At 38.7% G+C, this 18,475-nt stretch overlaps 1 long non-coding RNA gene across 4 annotated transcripts in view; it reads left to right on the forward strand.

Annotated features, from left to right (window-relative positions):
• Positions 1 to 18,475, forward strand: part of LOC101928842 (uncharacterized) — an 88,319-nt gene that overhangs the window by 21,411 nt on the left and 48,433 nt on the right. Inside the window, exons 1-4 of one of the 4 annotated variants that reach the window (XR_001744244.2) lie at positions 12,735 to 14,024; positions 14,606 to 14,741; positions 17,888 to 18,024; positions 18,181 to 18,322. This is a non-coding gene — a long non-coding RNA (uncharacterized LOC101928842). Of the gene's footprint in view, positions 1 to 12,734; positions 14,025 to 14,605; positions 14,742 to 17,887; positions 18,025 to 18,180; positions 18,323 to 18,475 lie in introns of those variants that run through there. The other 3 variants (XR_001744239.1, XR_002956361.1, XR_001744243.1) reach the window with 3 other exon arrangements.

Here is an 18,475-nt window from a genome sequence, read left to right on the forward strand (position 1 = left end):
GCAGCGTTGTTTCTGAGGGCTCTGTTCTGTTCCATTGGTCTATATCTCTGTTTTGGTACCAGTACCGTGCTGTTTTGGTTACTGTAGCATTGTAGTATAGTTCAAAGTCAGGTAGCGTTATGCCTCCATCTTTGTTCTTTTGGCTTAGGATTGACTTGGCAATGCGGGCTCGTTTTTGGTTCCATATGAACTTTAAAGTAGTTTTTTCCAATTCTGTGAAGAAAGTCATTGGTAGCTTGATGGGGATGGCATTGAATGTATAAATTACCTTGGGCAGTATGGCCATTTTCACGATATTGATTCTTCCTACCCATGAGCATGGAATGTTCTTCCATTTGTTTGTATCCTCCTTTATTTCATTGAGCAGTGGTTTGTAGTTCTCCTTGAAGAGTCCTTCACATCCCTTGTAAGTTGGATTCCTAGGTATTTTATTCTCTTTGAAGCAATTGTGAATGGGAGTTCACTCATGATTTGGCTCTCTGTTTGTCTGTTATTGGTGTATAAGAATGCTTGTGATTTTTACACGTTGATTTTGTATCCTGAGACTTTGCTGAAGTTGCCTATCAGCTTAAGGAGATTTTGGGCTGAGATGATGGGGTTTTCTGGATATACAATCATGTCATCTGCAAACAGGGACAATTTGACTTCCTCTTTTCCTAATTGAATGCCCTTTATTTCCTTCTCCTGCCTGATTGCCCTGGCTAGAACTTCCAACACTATGTTGAATAGGAGTGGTGAGAGAGGGCATCCCTGTCTTGTGCCAGTTTTCAAAGGGAATGCTTCCAGTTTTTGTCCATTCAGTATGTTATTGGCTGTGGGTTTGTGATAGATAGCTCTTATTATCAATACCTGATTTATTGAGAGTTTTTAGCATGAAGCGTTGTTGAATTTTATCAAAGGCCTTTCCTGCATCTATTGAGATAATCATGTGGTTTTTGTCTTTGGTTCTGTTTATATGCTGGATTATGTTTATTGATTTTCGTATGTTGAACCAGCCTTGCATCCCAGGGATGAAGCCCACTTGATCATGGTGGATAAACTTTTTGATGTGTTGCTGGATTCAGTTTGCCAGTATTTTATTAGGGATTTTTGCATCAATGTTCATCAAGGATATTGGTCTAAAATTCTCTTTTTTTTTTTGTGTCTCTGCCGGGCTATGGTATCAGGGTGATGCTGGCCTCATAAAATGAGTTAGGGAGGATTCCCTTTTTTTCTATTGATTGGAATAGTTTCAGAAGGAATGGTACCAGCTCCTCCTTGTACCTCTCATAGAATTCAGCTGTGAATCCATCTGGTCCTGGACTCTTTTTGGTTGGTAAGCTATTAATTATTGCCTCAATTTCAGAGCCTGTTGTTGGTCTATTCAGAGATTCAACTTCTTCCTGGTTTAGTCTTGGAAGAGTGAATGTGTCGAGGAATTTATCCATTTCTTCTAGATTTTCTAGTTTATTTGCATAGAGGTGCTTATAGTATTCTCTCATGGTAGTTTGTATTTCTGTGGGATCAGTGGTGAAATCTCCTTTGTCATTTTTTATTGTGTCTCTTTGATTCTTCTCTCTTTTCTTCTTTATTAGTCTTGCTAGTGGTCTATCAATTTGGTTGATCTTTTCAAAAAACCGGCTCCTGGATTCATTGATTTTTTGAAGGGTTTTTTGTGTCTCTATTTCCTTCAGTTCTGCTCTGATCTTAGTTATTTCTTGCCATCTGCTAGCTTTTGAATGTGTTTGGTCTTGCTTCTCTAGTCCTTTTAATTGTGATGTTAGGGTGTCAATTTTAGATCTTTCCTGTTTTCTCTTGTGGGCATTTAGTGCTATAAATTTCTCTCTACACACTGCTTTGTATGTGTCCTAGAGATTCTGGTATGTTGTGTCTTTGTTCTCATTGGTTTCAAAGAACATCTTTATTTCTGCCTTCATTTCGTTATGTACCTAGTAGTCATTCAGGAGCAGGTTGTTCAGTTTCCATGTAGTGGTGTGGTTTTGAGTGAGTTTCTTAATCCTGAGTTCTAGTTTGATTGCACTGTGGTCTGAGAGACAGTTTGTTATAATTTCTGTTCTTTTACATTTGCTGAGGAGTGCTTTACTTCCAACTATGTGGTCAATTTTGGAATAGGTGTGATGTGGTGCTGAAAAGAATGTATATTCTGTTGATTTGGGGTGGAGAGTTCTGTAGATGTCTATTAGGTCTGCTTGGTGCAGAGCTGAGTTCAATTCCTGGATATCCTTGTTAACTTTCTGTCTTGTTGATCCGTCTAATGTTGACAGTGGGGTGTTAAAATCTCCCATTATTATTGTGTGGGAGTCTAAGTCTGTTTGTAGGTCACTAAGGACTTGCTTTATGAATCTGAGTGCTCCTGTATTGGGTGCATATATATTTAGGATAGTTAGTTCTTCTTGTTGAATTGATCCCTTTACCATTATGTGATGGCCTTCTTTGTCTCTTTTGATCTTTGTTGGTTTAATGTCTGTTTTAACCGAGACTAGGATTACAACCCCTGCCTTTTTTTGTTTTCCATTTGCTTGATAGATCTGCCTCCATCTCTTTATTTTGAGCCTATGTGTGTCTCTGCACGTGAGATGGTTTTCCTGAATACAGCACACTGATGGGTCTTGACTCTTCATCCAATTTGCCAGTCTGTGCCTTTTAATTGGAGCATTTAGCCCATTTACATTTAAGGTTAGTATTGTTATGTGTGAATTTGATCCTGTCATTATCAGGTTAGCTGGTTATTTTGCTCGTTAATTGATGCAGTTTGTTCGTAGCCTTGATGGTCTTTACAATTTGGCATGTTTTTGCAGTGGCTGGTACCGGTTATTCCTTTCCATGTTTAGTGCTTCCTTCAGGAGCTCTTCTAGGGCAGGCCTGATGGTGACAAAATCTCTCAGCATTTGCTTGTCTGTAAGGTATTTTATTTCTCCTTCACTTATGAAGCTTAGTTTGGCTGGATATGAAATTCTGGGTTGAAAATTCTTTTCTTTAAGAATGTTGAATGTTGGCCCCCACTCTCCTCTGGCTTGTAGAGTTTCTGCTGAGAGATCCACTGTTAGTCTAATGGGCTTCCCTTTGTGGGTAACCTGACCTTTCTCTCTGGCTGCCCTTAACATTTTTTCCTTCATTTCAACTTTGGTGAATCTGACAATTATGTGTCTTGGAGTTGCTCTTCTTGAGGAGTATCTTTGTGGCATCTCTGTATTTCCTGAATTTGAATGTTGGCCTGCCTTGCTACGTTGGGGAAGTTCTCCTGGATAATATCCTGCAGAGTGTTTTCCAACTTGGTTCCATTCTCCCCATCACTTTCAGGTACACCCATCAGACATAGATTTGGTCTTTTCACATAGTCCCATATTTCTTGGAGGATTTGTCCATTTCTTTTTGTTTTATTTTCTCTAAACTTCTCTTCCCACTTCATTTCATTACTTTCATCTTGCATCGCTGATACCCTTGCTTCCAGTTGATCACATCGGTTACTGAGGCTTGTGCATTTGTCACATAGTTCTCATACCATGGTTTTCAGCTGCATGAGTTCCTTTAGGGACTTCTCTGCATTGGTTATTCTAGTTATCCGTTCATCTAATTTTGTTTCAAAGTTTTTAACTTCTTTGCCATTGGTTCGAACTTCCTTCTTTAGCTCCGTGTAGTTTGATCTTCTGATGCTTTCTTCTTTCAACTCGTCAAAGTCGTTCTCTGTCCAGCTTTGTTCCATTGCTGGTGAGGAGCTGGCGTTCCTTTGGAGGAGGAGAGGCTCTCTGATTTTTAGAGTTTCTAGTTTTTCTGCTCTGTTTTTTCCCCGTCTTTGTGGTTTTATCTACCTTCGGTCTTTGATGATGGTGACATACAGATGGGGTTTTGGTGTGGATGTCCTTTCTGTTTGTTAGTTTTCCTTCTAACAGTCAGGACCTTCAGCTGCAGATCTGTTGGAGTTTGCTGGAGGTCCACTCCAGACCCACTTTGCCTGGGTATCAGCAGCAGTGGTTGCAGAACAGCAGATATTGGTGAACCACAAATGCTGCTGCCTGATCATTCCTCTGGAAGTTTTGTCTCAGAGGAGTACGCGGCCGTGTGAGGTGTCAGCCCGCCTCTACTGGGGGTTGCCTCCCAGTTAGGCTCCTCGGGGGTCAGGGACCCACTTGAGGAGGTAGTGTGCCCATTCTCAGATCTCAAGCTATGTGGTGGGAGAACCACTACTCTTTTCAAAGCTGTCAGACAGGGACATTTAAGTCTGCAGAGGTTATTGCTGCCTTTTGTTTGTCTGTGCCCTGCCCCCAGAGGTGGAGCCTACAGAGGCAGGCAGGCCTCCTTGAGCTGTGGTGGGCTCCACCCAGTTCAAGCTTCCAGGCTGCTTTGTTTACCTACTCAAGCCTGGGCAATGGCGGACGCGCCTCCCCCAGCCTCGCTGCCACCTTGCAGTTTGATCTCAGACTGCTGTGCTAACAATGAGTGAGGCTCCGTGGGCATAGGACCCTCCAAGCCAGGTACGGGATATAATCTCCTGGTGTGCTGGTTGTTAAGCCTGTTGGAAAAGTGCAGTATTAGGGTGGGAGTGACCCGATTTTCCAGGTGCCGTCTGTCACCCCTTTCTTTGACTAGGAAAGGGAATTCCCTGACCCCTTGCACTTCCCAGGTGAGGCGATGCCTCGCCCTGCTTTGGCTCACATACAGTGTGCTGAACCCACTGTCCTGTACCCACTGTCTGGCACTCCCTAGTGAGATGAACCCAGTACCTCAGTTGGAAATGCAGAAATCACTCATCTTCTGCGTCACTCACACTGGGAGGTGTGGACTGGAGCTGTTCCTATTCGGCCATCTTGGCTCCACCCTCCCGCCTGGCTAATGTTTTAAACTTTTTTGGTAGATACAGGGTCTTGCTGTTTGCCCAGGCTGGACTGGAACTCCTGGGCTCAAGCAGTCCTCTCACCTCAGCCTCCTAGAGTGCTAGAATTACAGTCATGAAACAGCACATGTGGCCCATATTGACTTATTCTTCAGACAGTTGGAATCAATCTATTGTTAGCATGTTTGGGAAAGTTTAGATGCAAAGCTTTGTACCTCCCACATTCTGATGTATATAATGCTGTTTTCTCCTTTTTTTTTTTTTCTCTTATTATATGCTTTGAGATTCTCAGGTCTGCTTCTTTTTCTGCCAGTGTTAACTGATGAAATCCCAGTACTTAAGTCTTAGCCTTCCAATCATGAATAAAGGAAGGCACTTCAATATAAGAAGGAAATGTTTGTTCCTCTTTCCCTGCACTTGCAGAGAAAAATAGAAACTATTCTTGCTTATATTAATGCTAGATAAAAATTCTTATAAGATACCTGGTCTTCAGAGATTGTTGCGAAATACTTTGACAGTAATGTTTAACCCCTGAAAAGTTAGTAACTAACTTTAATTGGTTGTTTTACTTAATAATGTGTTTCATTGGAAATAATTTGGATGTAGACATCACTTTCTCATAAAAGGTGTATGATTTGTGAACTCTGGAAGTCTGAAGGAAAGCCTTGGTATTTCCTTTTTATTTCACATGGTTGAGGTAAAATAAAATTACTCTGCAGATGTATTATTTAAACAAAATGCTTGTGATTATCTTCAAATTTAAAAAAGAGCATTCTTCAGTAGTTTGTCTTTTGCTATTTACTTATTTGAGGAAGTCTTTCTGTTGTTGTCACAAATAAATAATTACTTGGATGAATATGTAGTTCCTAGGTCACAGCTGTTTTATCTCATCATTCAGTAGACTTTGATTGCTTTACTGTCTTCTGGTGTATTTAGGGATGGGGAAAAATACGAAGTCAGATATTTTCTCCAGATGCTTATAGTGTTTTCTTTATCTTTGAAATTATGAAATGTTGCAAGCCTACATACATACATATGTATACATCTATATATGTAATTTTTGCATTTTATTCTATTTTTTCATAGGACTCTAAGAACACATAGGCTCAGATATTTTTGCAGCTAAGATATTTTCTTCTAGTTGATTATTACTCTGTTTTATTTATTTTTTCTTTTTGTTCAGCACATCAGAGAAAGAATTTTTTTTCTTTTATTGAAACATTTATAATCTTAGCTGGCTTTTTGTCCTTTACCTTCCAAATATATTATCTCCTCTCATTGTTTTCTCTTTGTTTTTCTTTTATGCTTCTTGCTTTTCAATAATGATTTGCTGAGGATGGGGTGGCTTTCTCTTCTATTTCAGAGGATAGAGTATGTAATATGTGGTTCAATAACATACCACTCTATCTTGAATGGTGATGCATTTAGTAGAAATTCCACCAGTATTTTCCAAGATCTTCTTTTACCATGGGGTTCCAAGTCCAAGCTTTCACAATTTTGTCTGTCTTCAAGAGTATTAGTCAGTGTGGTGATTCCTCAGGGATCTAGAACTAGAAATACCATTTGACCCAGCAATCCCATTACTGAGTATATACCCAAAGGATTCTAAATCATGCTGCTATAAAGACACATGCACACATATGTTTATTGTGGCACTATTCAGAATTTCAAAGACTTGGAACCAACCCAAATGTCCAACAATGATAGACTGGATTAAGAAAATGTGGCACATAGACACCATGGAATACTATGCAGCCATAAAAAAGGATGAGTTCATATCCTTTGTAGGGACATGGATGAAGCTGGAAACCATCATTCTCAGCAAACTATTGCAAGGGCAAAAATCCAAACACCGCATGTTCTCACTCATAGGTGGGAATTGAACAATGAGAACACATGGACACAGGAAGGGGAACATTACACACCGGGGCCTGTTGTGGGGTGGGGGGAGGGGGGAGGGGAGAGCATTAGGAGATATACCTAATGTTAAATGAAGAGTTAATGGGTGCAGCACACCAACATGGCACATGTATATGTATGTAACTAACCTGCACATTGTGCACATGTACCCTAAAACTTAAAGTCTAATAATAAAAAAAAGAAAGTTAAGAAGAAGCCTAAGTATTTTATTAGAAAGTTAAGAAGGAGCCTATCATGTTTATCTTTTTTTTTTTTTTTTTTTTTTGAGACGGAGTCTTGCTGTCTTGCTGTGTTGCCCAGGCTGGATTACAGTGGTGCGTGTTCTCGGCTACAGCAACTTCCGCCTCCAGGGTGTAAGGATTCTCTTGCCCCAGCCTCCCGAGTAGCTTGGATTACAAGTGCTCACCACCATGCCCAATTTTTATAGTTTTAGTTGACCAGGCTGGCCTTGAACTCTTGACCTCAAGTGATCTGCCTGCCTTAGCCTCCCAAAGTGCTGGAATTACAGGCATGAGCCACAGCACCTGGCCCTCAGGTTTATCTTATCATGTAAAATCTGTCTACATGTTAACTTGGAAGTTCAAATTCAATCATTTAAAATGCTTATGGAGGCCAGTAGCATTAGCTCATGCCTGTAATTCCAACACTTTAGGAGGTCGAGGCAGGAGGACTACTTGAGGCCAGGAGTTGAGACCAGCCTGAGCAACATAATGAGACTCTGTTGCTACAAAAAAATTAAAAAGATCAGCTGGGCATGGTGGCATATGCCTATAGACTTAGCTATTTGGGAGACTGAGACCAGAGGATTGCTTGAACCCAAGCGTTCAAGGTTACAGTGAGCTACGATTATGCTATTGCATCCCAGCCCGGTTGACAAAGCCAGACCTCCTCTCTAAAAAAAAAAAAAAAGGATAAGCCTTCTAGAAATCATAGTGGTATATACATCACATTTTTTTTCCTGGACATCTCTGTGGAAATTTAGTAGACTGTAATTTATTTCTCATTCTTTCATTAGTGATTACAGCCTAAATATCTCACCTCCTATTTTTTTCCATTTATTTTGTTAATAAAACATTTCCTATTAATATTCAAAAATATTAATAGAAAATATTTCTAATATTTCTGTTAGTGTTTTAAATGGTCTTAGCATATGTGCTTGGAATTAGTAATACTCACTATTTGATCTTTGAAACTTTTGCTTCCTAGGATAAAAATGTTAATCATGTTTATATAAATTTATTATTAATAAACAATAATGAATTGTTTTAAATAGTTGTATAAATAATCCATCATCAACTTTCTAAAAATCTTGCATAATTCTGGGAAAAAGATATGTCACACATTATCAAACATGTACTATATCAATTTGTGTGAATTTTAGATTAAGAAAAACAGATTATCTTGTATGTCTAGAATTAGACTTTCTGTAGTGAGAATTCAAATGGAAAGAGTTCCTGAGATTCAGAGTTCAAAACCTTCTTGGAGAGAAAAGAAAGATGAGACAATACATGACGGTGTAATTGATTACAGATCCAAAAGAAAACAAAATTACTGGCAACTGTCCAGTAATTGATTATAGATCCAAAAGAAAATAGAGTTACCGGCAGCTTATTATGTATTTATTTTTAAGTTACAAGATAAAACTTGGTATTTTATTAATTAACATTTAAAAATAAAATCTTTTACTTTCTCTTTGGGGCTGTCTTAAGCCTATGTTTACATTACGTAGGGAAGAGAATATTTTTTCTAAGATAGTTTAGAAAATGGTTTGTGACTCAAGGATTTTTGACTGTCTTTATTTATAACAAAATCTTTAGTCTCTTATTTCTAAAACCAGCAAAAGACATTTCTGAAGCTGTATATCTCCTCAAATGTATTTTTTTTTTTTTTAGCAAATAAAGAAATCAGTATTTGTGGGTCAGAATTTCTTTAGGTTTCATACTGCTGGGAAATTATATATAATTTGGTATTGGATTGTAGTGATTTTTATACTCAGGATCTCATCTTCTGTCTGCTGCAGAAATGGCTCCCTCATTCCTCTCCAGACCCTCTTAAAGTGGCATTTGCAAGACACATGCATCTCGCCTTTAACTACTGTAAACTTACTTTACATCTGACTCTCTCATTGCAATATTATTAACCTGAGATAGTCCTGTTTGTAAGGGAATCTACATGACACATGTATTTTAGTCTCAGTTGGACCCTCCATCTGATCAAATTCTGTTCTAGATTTGTTTCAATTTTGTGATAGCAAGAATGAAAACATTATGTAGTTTCTGCTCTCTTATCTTCAGCTGGTCTTGGTGACTTGTAAGCATTACCTTGAATTCACTGACATCACATATTCTACTCCTACTTACTAATCCTGATAAATGTTTTTCCAGTAAAAATATTCCTCTCCAATGAGGGCTGTCTGCTCAGCATCATTCATGTGGATTTTATTGATTGGAAGCTGAATCCAAAAAGTATTTTCTCTCAGGACATAGTGCTGTGCAATTTCTCATTTGGTATTTTTTTGAATTCTTTTTGTCCAGTTAACAAACTATTTAACAAACTGCCCACAGAGCAAAAGGCTTAAAACAACTATTTATTACAGCTCACTATTTTCTTGATCAGAAATTTGGAAATTTGGGTGGTACAACTATTTCCTGTGGCATTAATGGAGGTCTCTTGGTGGTATTCAGCTGGCAGATGGGCTGATCTGCAGAGCCCAAGATGGCTTTACTTACATGTCTGCCACTTTGATGGACATGGCTGGAAGACTGACCTTAGCGACTCAAGGTAAGTAGACTCCTTCCATGAAGCTCAGGGCTCCTAGGGCAAGTATTCCAAGTGGCCCAGGAAGAAGCTGGAAGGCTCCCATGACCTCGTCTTAGAATTTGTGAACTGTCAGTTCTGTCACATTCTTATTGGCCAAGCCACTCACTAAGGCTAGTCCAGATTCATGGAGAGGGAAATTAAAATCTAGCCTTCAATAAGAGGAGTAGCAAAGAATTTGTGGTCATCTTTAATTTACCACATTCTAAAATTTTAGTCTAAAATTTTGTGTTAACAGTGAGTGGCATGACACAATTTAAAGTGATTAATCTGCATTCCTGAATTCACATTTATTAGTATGAGTTTTATTATTAATTTTATGAATCAAGTTGTAGAGATGATACATGTCCTATTGACTACTGTCATTTACCCAGGGTCTATAAGCCATGAGCCAGGACAGTGCTATGAGCATTATATAAATTGGCTCCAATCCTAAGAGAATTTTGCAGGGGGAGAACTATTATCTTCCTTTTGTAAGTGAGCACAGTGAGGCTCTGAGTAGTTAAGTAACTTGCAGTATAGAGATGTGTGGAACTGTTTGAGCTCTAGTTCCAACCCAGCCATTAACTACTAGTCTGACTTTTGAGTGAGTTCTTGAAGTTACTTTTGCTTTAGTTTCCTCTCTGTAAAAAGGGTGCTAATAATAAAACTCATACCATGAGAATATAATGGGCAAATATAGACAATAAGAGCAGGACTAGGCATTATGTAAATGCCCAATAAATGTTAGCTATTATTGTTATTAGCCTAGGTCACACAGCTAGTAAAAATGCTTACTGTGGCCGGGCATGGTGGCTCATGCCTATAACTGCAGCACTTGGGAGGCCAAGGCAGGTGGATCATGAGTTCAGGAGATCAAGACCATTTTGGCTAACACAGTGGAACCCCGTCTCTACTAAAAATACAAAAAATTAATCAGGCGTGGTGGCATGCCCCTGTAATCCCAGCTACTCAGGAGGCTGAGGCAGGAGAATCGCTTGAACCTGGGAGGTGGAGGTTGCAGTGAGCTGACATTGTGCCATTGCACTCCAGCCTATGCGAGAGAGCAAGACCCTGCCTCTCAAAAAAAAAAAAAAAAAAAAAAATGCTTACTGAATTCTGAATGCTACAACATGGATGAAAGTTTATAGGTCCAAAATACCCAAGATATCTTACTGACTTAAGAACTAAGAGTAGTTACAGTAAACTCACAACTTGTTGAATTTGCAGAAGTAATTATTAATATCTATTTTGTAATGATGTGCAAAAAACAGGTAAACAATGTTATCTCAAAGTAGGAAGCATCTTCAATAATGTTAAGCTCTTTTACCTCCCTAATTCATTCATGTATTCATTTAACAAATATTTTTGGGGCACCAACCATGTGCCAGGGCATAAGGCTAGCCCATGAGGCTAAAATGCTGAACATAGAAGCAGTATCACATCCTTCATGAGCACATCTTTTTTATAAGCTTTGCCTTAGTTTACTCTTTTGATGTCTCATGGTTCAGGGCTGACCATGTTTATTTCTTGCATCCCAGATAACTGATCTTGCAATTGCTGTGTTGACATTAGTAAAAATGCAAGGTACTCATTTGGACATAATAGACCATCTTGCATTCAGGGAGCTGTTTAATGAGATAATGAATAAAGTATATACCTAAGAACATTTGCTAGTGAGGACAGATGAGAAATTTGAAGAATTTGGAGGTTTGTTGTCCCTTTCACTTCCCATTTTATGTTTTGGTGGTTAATTTTTGGTGACAACTTGACAAGTCTATGGCGCCCAGTTGTTTGGTTAAACACTAGTTTATACATTACTGTGGAGGTATGTTTTAGACATGATTAACATTTATAATCAGTAGACTTTGAGTAAAGCAGATTATTCTCCCGTAATGTAGATAAGCCTTATCTAATCAGTTGAAGGTCTTAAGAGCAAAGACTGAGGTTTCCCAAAGAAGAAGTTCTCAAGCATGCAATTCAGAATTGCTGCCTGAGTTTTTAACCTGATAGCCTGAAGATTTCAAACTCAAGACTGCAGCATCAACTCTTTTTTTTTTTTTTTTTTTGAGACGGAGTCTCGCTCTGTCACCCAGGCTGGAGTGCAGTGGCGCGATCTCAGCTCACTGCAAGCTCCGCCCACTGGGTTCACGCCATTCTCCTGCCTCAGCCTCCCGAGTAGCTGGGAATACAGGCGCCCGCCATCGCGCCCGGCTAATTTTTTGTATATTTAGTAGAGACGGGGTTTCACCGTGTTAGCCAGGATCGTCTCGATCTCCTGACCTCGTGATCCATCCGCCTCGCCTCCCAAAGTGCTGGGATTACAGGAGTGAGCCACCGTGCCCGGCCAACAGCAACTCTTACCTAAATTCCTAGCGTACCTTATATGTTTTGGACTTGCCAAACTCCACCTCACATGAATCAATTCATTGAAATAAATTTCTCTCTCTGTATATCTCTATATCTATCTATCTGTCTATCATGTATGTGTGGGTGTGTGTGTCTATGTCTATCTCTTATTCGTTCTGTTTTTCTGAAGAACCTGACTAATACAATGCCATTCTCTAGAGCAAATTTATAGAGACAAGTAAAATGCTTTAGGGGGTTTTAGATAATAACGACCTCTCATTCCTCTTTATGAAAATAGAAGCCTGAGAGTTGATTGGACTTTTGAATCCATAGAACTAAATTCCAATGAGTCTGGAAATTGCATCAAAGATCTGAGTTTTCAAATGTTGTTGGTCTGTATCTGTCTCATAGGGTTGCTGTTGGAGACCTGTTTGTTCACCTTCAAGCTCACTAAGTTTTGTGTCCTGTCACAGAACTTTTAAATTTTCATAGCAGTAATGCCTAACCCTCTAACAAAGTGACCTCTGACAAAGGCAGACTTACCTTTTCTGACTCTCAGAATTCCTATAACTTCTCATCTTTTAAAAGAGTCAGGGGAAAACATATCCTGGTATTATGAATATATGTATCACTGCTGTCCTTTCCCTTGGACCACTAGCTGTATTCTTAATCATGTTTCTTAGTCATTGTTTTCCTGGATATCAGTCTTCTTGGGCTTCTATAACAAAATACCATAGACCGAGTGGTTTAAACAACAGTCATTTATTTTTTCACAATTCCGAAGGCTGGAAGTCCAAGATCAGGGTGTCAGCATGATTGAGTTCTTGTGAGGGCCTTCTTCCTGACTTGGAGAAGGAGATTTCTTTCTGTGTCCTCACATGGTAGAGAGAAAGAGAGAGAGAGAGCAACCTCGATGGTATCTCATCTTATTAGGGCACCAGTTTCATCAAGAGGGCATCATCTTCATGGCCTCATCTAAACCTAATTAACTCCAAAAGGCCCCATGTCCCAACACCATCACATTGGGGGCTTAGGACTACAACATATGAATTTTGTGGAGTCACAAACATTGTCTGCAACACTGGATAAGAACAAGAGATGAGCATTAGACAAGAAATTTTCTTCTTTAGATCGTAAAAGTACACACTCTTTGTTTTACAAAGAAAGCATAAGAAGTAAAACTTGGTTGAAATTTATATGTGGGTTTCTTTGGAGAAAATCCTATTTACTTTCAAAAAAGTGTCTGATCTCAGACAAATTAAACCTTCCTGTGGGCTGACCTTCTGTCAGGTCCTGTTGTGTGTGATAAGACAGACGAGCTCAAAGAAAAAGCATTAGACTTTTATCCTGAGTGATTTTGTTGCACTTTCCCAGAATTCATGCACAGAGAGCCTACATAATGAATAAATATCAATACATTGGTCGATATTTATGAAATGCTGCTGGATACCCAGTCCTATTCTGGTTGCTCATGGTTGTGGTGGTGTTGTGGGTGGGAATCAAGATAGATTCACTGGCCTTGAACAGTTTACAGGTTGATGGAGGAAAGCATTTGTTGCTCTAGCTCTCACCCATGTATATGTCTATGATTTGTTTTGCCGGCTTTATACAGAATCCTCAGGTTCCCCCTCATTTAATGTGCAAAATGAAGATTCTGACAACTAAAAACAAATTGTTTAGGTGGATGCATTCTCAAGAAGAGAAGAATAAAAATAATATCAATGTTTTTGCTTCGTAGTATCCCCCTTCATATATTATATGCAGCATACATAATTTTTCATGGGAAACTAGATGAAAGAATTAGGATTAGAGGGTTTATGACTTCTTTCATTTCTTTATCATCAGACTCTGAAAGAAACTAATACCTATTTACGTGAAGAAAATGTACAATTTCTTTAGCTGTCACGGAAATGTGGTTTAAAAATATCTAGTGTGCTCTGCAAAAGCCTTGGCTGAGCTGTGAGAGCAGTCACTTGCCTGTCAGATGTCTAATTATTTCTCCCTCCTCCTCAACCACGCCAGTAGCAGGGAACCACTGAGACCATATTGTTGCCCATATGTCGGAAAGCTACTAAATTAAACCCCTGTGTAACATGCTGACAAGTCTAATGCAGTAGTTGGAGATTTGGTGAGTAAATTTTTCTAATCTATCTTTCCAATTGTAATGCTTTTGAGTTTTTTTTTTTTTTTTTTTTTTTTCTGTCTGTGGTGCAGGCTGGCTGTTCTTTGTCAAGGACTGAGATATTGTTACCACACATCAATACCAACTGAAAAGAAACTGAATATCTCGGTTGGACTGGATTTCTGCAGTTGATGAATTAGAGTTAGGCCCAAATCCCCAGTGTTAGGTGACAAAAACCTTATGTTCAGCCTGTCCTGCTCTGAAGTGTGCAGAATGTTCAGAGAGTTTGGGTTTGATACAAATGCCGTTCTATTCTTTTGCAAACCCACAGACAGTCTTCTGAAGTTCACTGTTTCATAGGCCTGGCAGAAAAGGGTCTTTCCCATATCTCCCATTTCTCTTGCTTTTACCATTATACTTTTCTTAGCATGGATAAGTTAGTATTTTAGAATACATTTTATGTTTTGTTTTCTCAGTTAATTGCAGGACAAGAGAACTGATTCCTAATTGTTCCTAATTTTCCCATATCTGTAAGTAACTACTATCCTAAGGGAATGCTACTTTCCTCTTTCTTCTATCCTCCTAAGGGGAATGGGTAGTCTTTCCTTTGGAGAAGAACAAAAAGCTGGACAAACAGACAAAAAAGCAACAAAAATACTGGACAACTAAAGATTTCTCAAATCTTGCTCCACAGGACACTGATGTTCCTCTAAATGTTAGTAGGTGTGTATCCTCTGCAAAGGGCTCTGTTGTCAAATACTAATGGGAAATTATGTCCTAAATCAACTTAAACAATTTTTTTTGACAACATACCTTGTAGCTACAATATGCTTATGCACATTGTGAATTTCCAGGAATGTAATCTAGTGTATGAAGTATCCAAAATCAATTTGACTACCATTTATTTATTTATTTATTTTCTGTAGAATATGTGGGTACATGGTTTGGGGAATGCTAGGATAAACTTCTTCTCTTTCTCTTCCTGTATCAAAGCGAATAACTGTACTGGTAGCTTAGTTTGTTTCCATTTAATGGCATTTCAAGGTATTTGTTAAACAGTGCCTACAGTATATGAGACTCTAATTGCCAGAGGAAAGGGTACTGTGAAGCAGTGAAATTATAAAATATGGATAAAATCTTGACTTGGAGGAACTTATGATCTAGTGTGTAGTATTGTACATTTGAGGCATGGCATATTACAATTGGGGAAGAGTTAAAAATGCTTCAACAGGTAGCTTCCTGCATAGGGTTGTAGTTTGTACCTTTATATATTATGTATAATTTTTCTTCCTTTTGTATTTGTTTGTGAGTGGAGTTATAAAGAGTAGTGAGGAGAGGTCATGACTTCCGAGCTGAAGATTTTTGGCAAGAAGACCCTTCCCAATGTGGCAGATTAAAAGAAAAATCTAATTTGTTATCCAACTTTTGCATGCGAGAACTGATTCCACATTGAAAAACAAAAACTCATGTTATTTGCTGATTGTAATATTGAGATAACCCTGATATATTGAGGTTAAAGACAAATGAGATTTTTTTTTTTCTGGTGACAATGAAGAAACCTATTATTAATCTCTTCAGTAAGAGAGAAAACTAAAAATCTCTACAGCTCTTTAAGACGGTGGGAGTTTACCGTGCTCAGTGGCTCATGCCTGTAATCCAAGCACTTTGGGAGGCTGAGGCGGGCAGATCATGAGGTCAAGAGATTGAGACCATCCTGTCCAACATGGTGAAACCCGTCTCTACTAAAAATACAAAAGTTAGCTGGGCTTGGTGGTGCGTGCCTATAGCCCCAGCTACTCAGGAGGCTGAGGCAGGAGAATTGCTTGAACCCAGGAGGCAGAGGTTGCAGTGAGCCAAGATTGCACCACTGCACTCCAGCCTGGCGACAGAGAAATAGTCTGACTCAAAAAAAAAAAAAAAGAAGGCCGGGTTTGGTGGTTCATGCCTGTAATCCCAGCACTTTGGGAGGCCGAGGCGGGTGGATCACCTGAGGTTGGGAGTTCGAGACCAGCCTGACCAACATGGAGAAACCCCGTCTGTACTAAAAATACAAAATTAGCCGGGCATGGTGGTGCATACCTGTAATCCTGGGTGCTCGGGAGGCTGAGGCAGGAGAAACGCTTGAACCCAGGAGGCGGAGGCTGTGGTGAGCTGAGATCGTACCATTGCACTCCAGCCTGGGCAACGAGAGCAAAACTCCGTCTCAAAAAAAAAAAAAAAAGAAGAAGAAGAAAAGAAAAAAACAAAAGAGGGAGGGAGTCTCCAAGCAAAGATTTTACCTAAAGCAAATGGAGTGTTTTTTAAAAATTTATGTGACTTTGCAGTTAAAATGTTATGTATACCAAGTTTCAGATTACTCTTAATGGTATATAAAGCTTGATTACAAGGCATATGTACTTGCTGCTAAGGCCCAAGAGAGCCACTGCAGTAAACCAAGTTTATTTTACTATTCACAGTCACCTAGATTGGTGGGTTTGCTAAATGCCTAAAATAACTTTCTACTGGGCTGGCATGTTTCTTAAAAACAAAATCTCAAAGATGGGCAAGATTCATTTAAAGGAGGAAGCCCTGACATGAAAAAAAAAATCCTTGCCTGCTTGACTTTTCCCTTTGCTTTGGAACCTTAAGAAACAGTTGGGTCACTTTAAACAAAATTTGCTCTGGGCCTAGAAAATTTCAATTACATGCTATTGGCCTATTAATGAGAATTTTATTAGTTTGCAAAGAAATAAGGAGCATCCAGTTCTTCTCACATAGAGTGGAAATAATTTCCTTTATGGTTCACATTTAGGACTCCATTGCTCTAATTTAAATATCTTTTACTGACATTACAGAACAGAAGGCTTTTGTGTGCATTATTCCAAACAGCTGATCTCAAATTTCTGTGGATACAGACAGCTAACAAAGCAGTTAAAGTCAACTATTCAATAACTCCTAGAGATCCGTAGGCTCAGTCACTCAGCAACATTTAACACGCTTGACGAGCACAGCATCTTAGATGTTGTCAGGGATAAAAAGTAATAAACTATGGTTCTTGCCTTCAAGGATTTTTCAGTTGGGTAACTATGAAAAACACATACATGAAGAACTAGACTTTTAAAATTATACTCAAACAACTACAAAGCAACCTAAAGGAAGTTTGTTTATAAATTCATGTTGACCTTACCCTCAGCATGTTAGTATGAATGAATTTTCAAATCATAGAGTTTAATTATTTTCAAGTTTAAATAAGGCATTCCACCTTCATCAGAAGGAAGGAATTATACTTACAAAACATACTTAAAAATTTTGAGGAAAATAGAGACCTTTAAGGGAATAACTTGATAGATAGAAAAACTTTTGCCTAGTAGAACAACCCTTCATCTATAAATCATCTTCAAAAATGAATAAGTGGCCATGATCTACACAACATAGCACAAACACCTTGCCATAGGATGCAGGAAGAACAGGCATCTGATCCAAGGCAAGTCCATGGATGGCCTGAGCAGTGGACCTTGAGGTGGTCAAACCCAGAGTTCTATCCAGCAAAGATGATGGTGATCAACTGAGCCTAGGAAATGCTCTCTCTCAGGAATTTGAATGTGAAACATAGTGAAAGTTAAAATGCTACTGATAAAAGTAGAGGCTGAAAAGAGATGCAGAGTCTATATTAAACTTGTTCTACCCAGATCTTCAAAGGCAGATAAGAGTAATATGTTGGATACTCCAATTATGAAATTCTGCCCCAAATCTCATTCCATTAAATAAACTGGAGAACTTTATATTTTATATGTGTGTTTTTTTCTTATTCCATCTCAAAATTAGGCACATGAAATAATATAATTAATGTTTAAACTCTTCTCTACAAATCTATATTCTTTTAATCTAAGTCTACAGGATATCAGAATTCTAAGAAAAACTTGGAAATCATGTTCAGGACTATACAGGACTTTAAAAGCTTTATCTTCCCAAACTGAAAACCAGACCTCTCAAGTCTAGCTGCTCTCCTCCAGGTGCTGCATAAATGGTGAGCTCTAGGCACTCATTGGCCTCTGTGATCTCCTCTTTGCACCTTCTTTTGTCCTACTAACTTTCATGCCAATCTTCCCATTTTTGTTCTCTTCTGTCTCTTGAAATGCTATGTTTGGCAGCATTTTTTTGGGCCGTGTTTCTATTTCTCCAGGACCTGGTCTTTGGCTACCTTACTTTGGATCACTTGGTTGAAACAGTTCCCTTAGTCAACTTGTCCACTGGACTTAAGCTGTGGGACACAGAAATTTTCCCTGGAAGAACAGAACAATGAAGATGAATAGTTGAAAAATGAGGTGAGCAGAAAAGTTATTTATTTATTTTAAGCTTATTCTGTTACTTTGTAGTTGTGTAAGCTAGGGTAATCTTCTAAAACTCTCAGAGCATCAGTTTAAAAAATTTAGGTTGGGGATAAGAATAATTCCTCATATGGGAAGTCAAATTGTCTC

This window comes from Homo sapiens, chromosome 6, assembly GCF_000001405.40.
Source record: "Homo sapiens chromosome 6, GRCh38.p14 Primary Assembly".
Taxonomy (NCBI): Eukaryota; Metazoa; Chordata; class Mammalia; order Primates; family Hominidae; genus Homo; species Homo sapiens.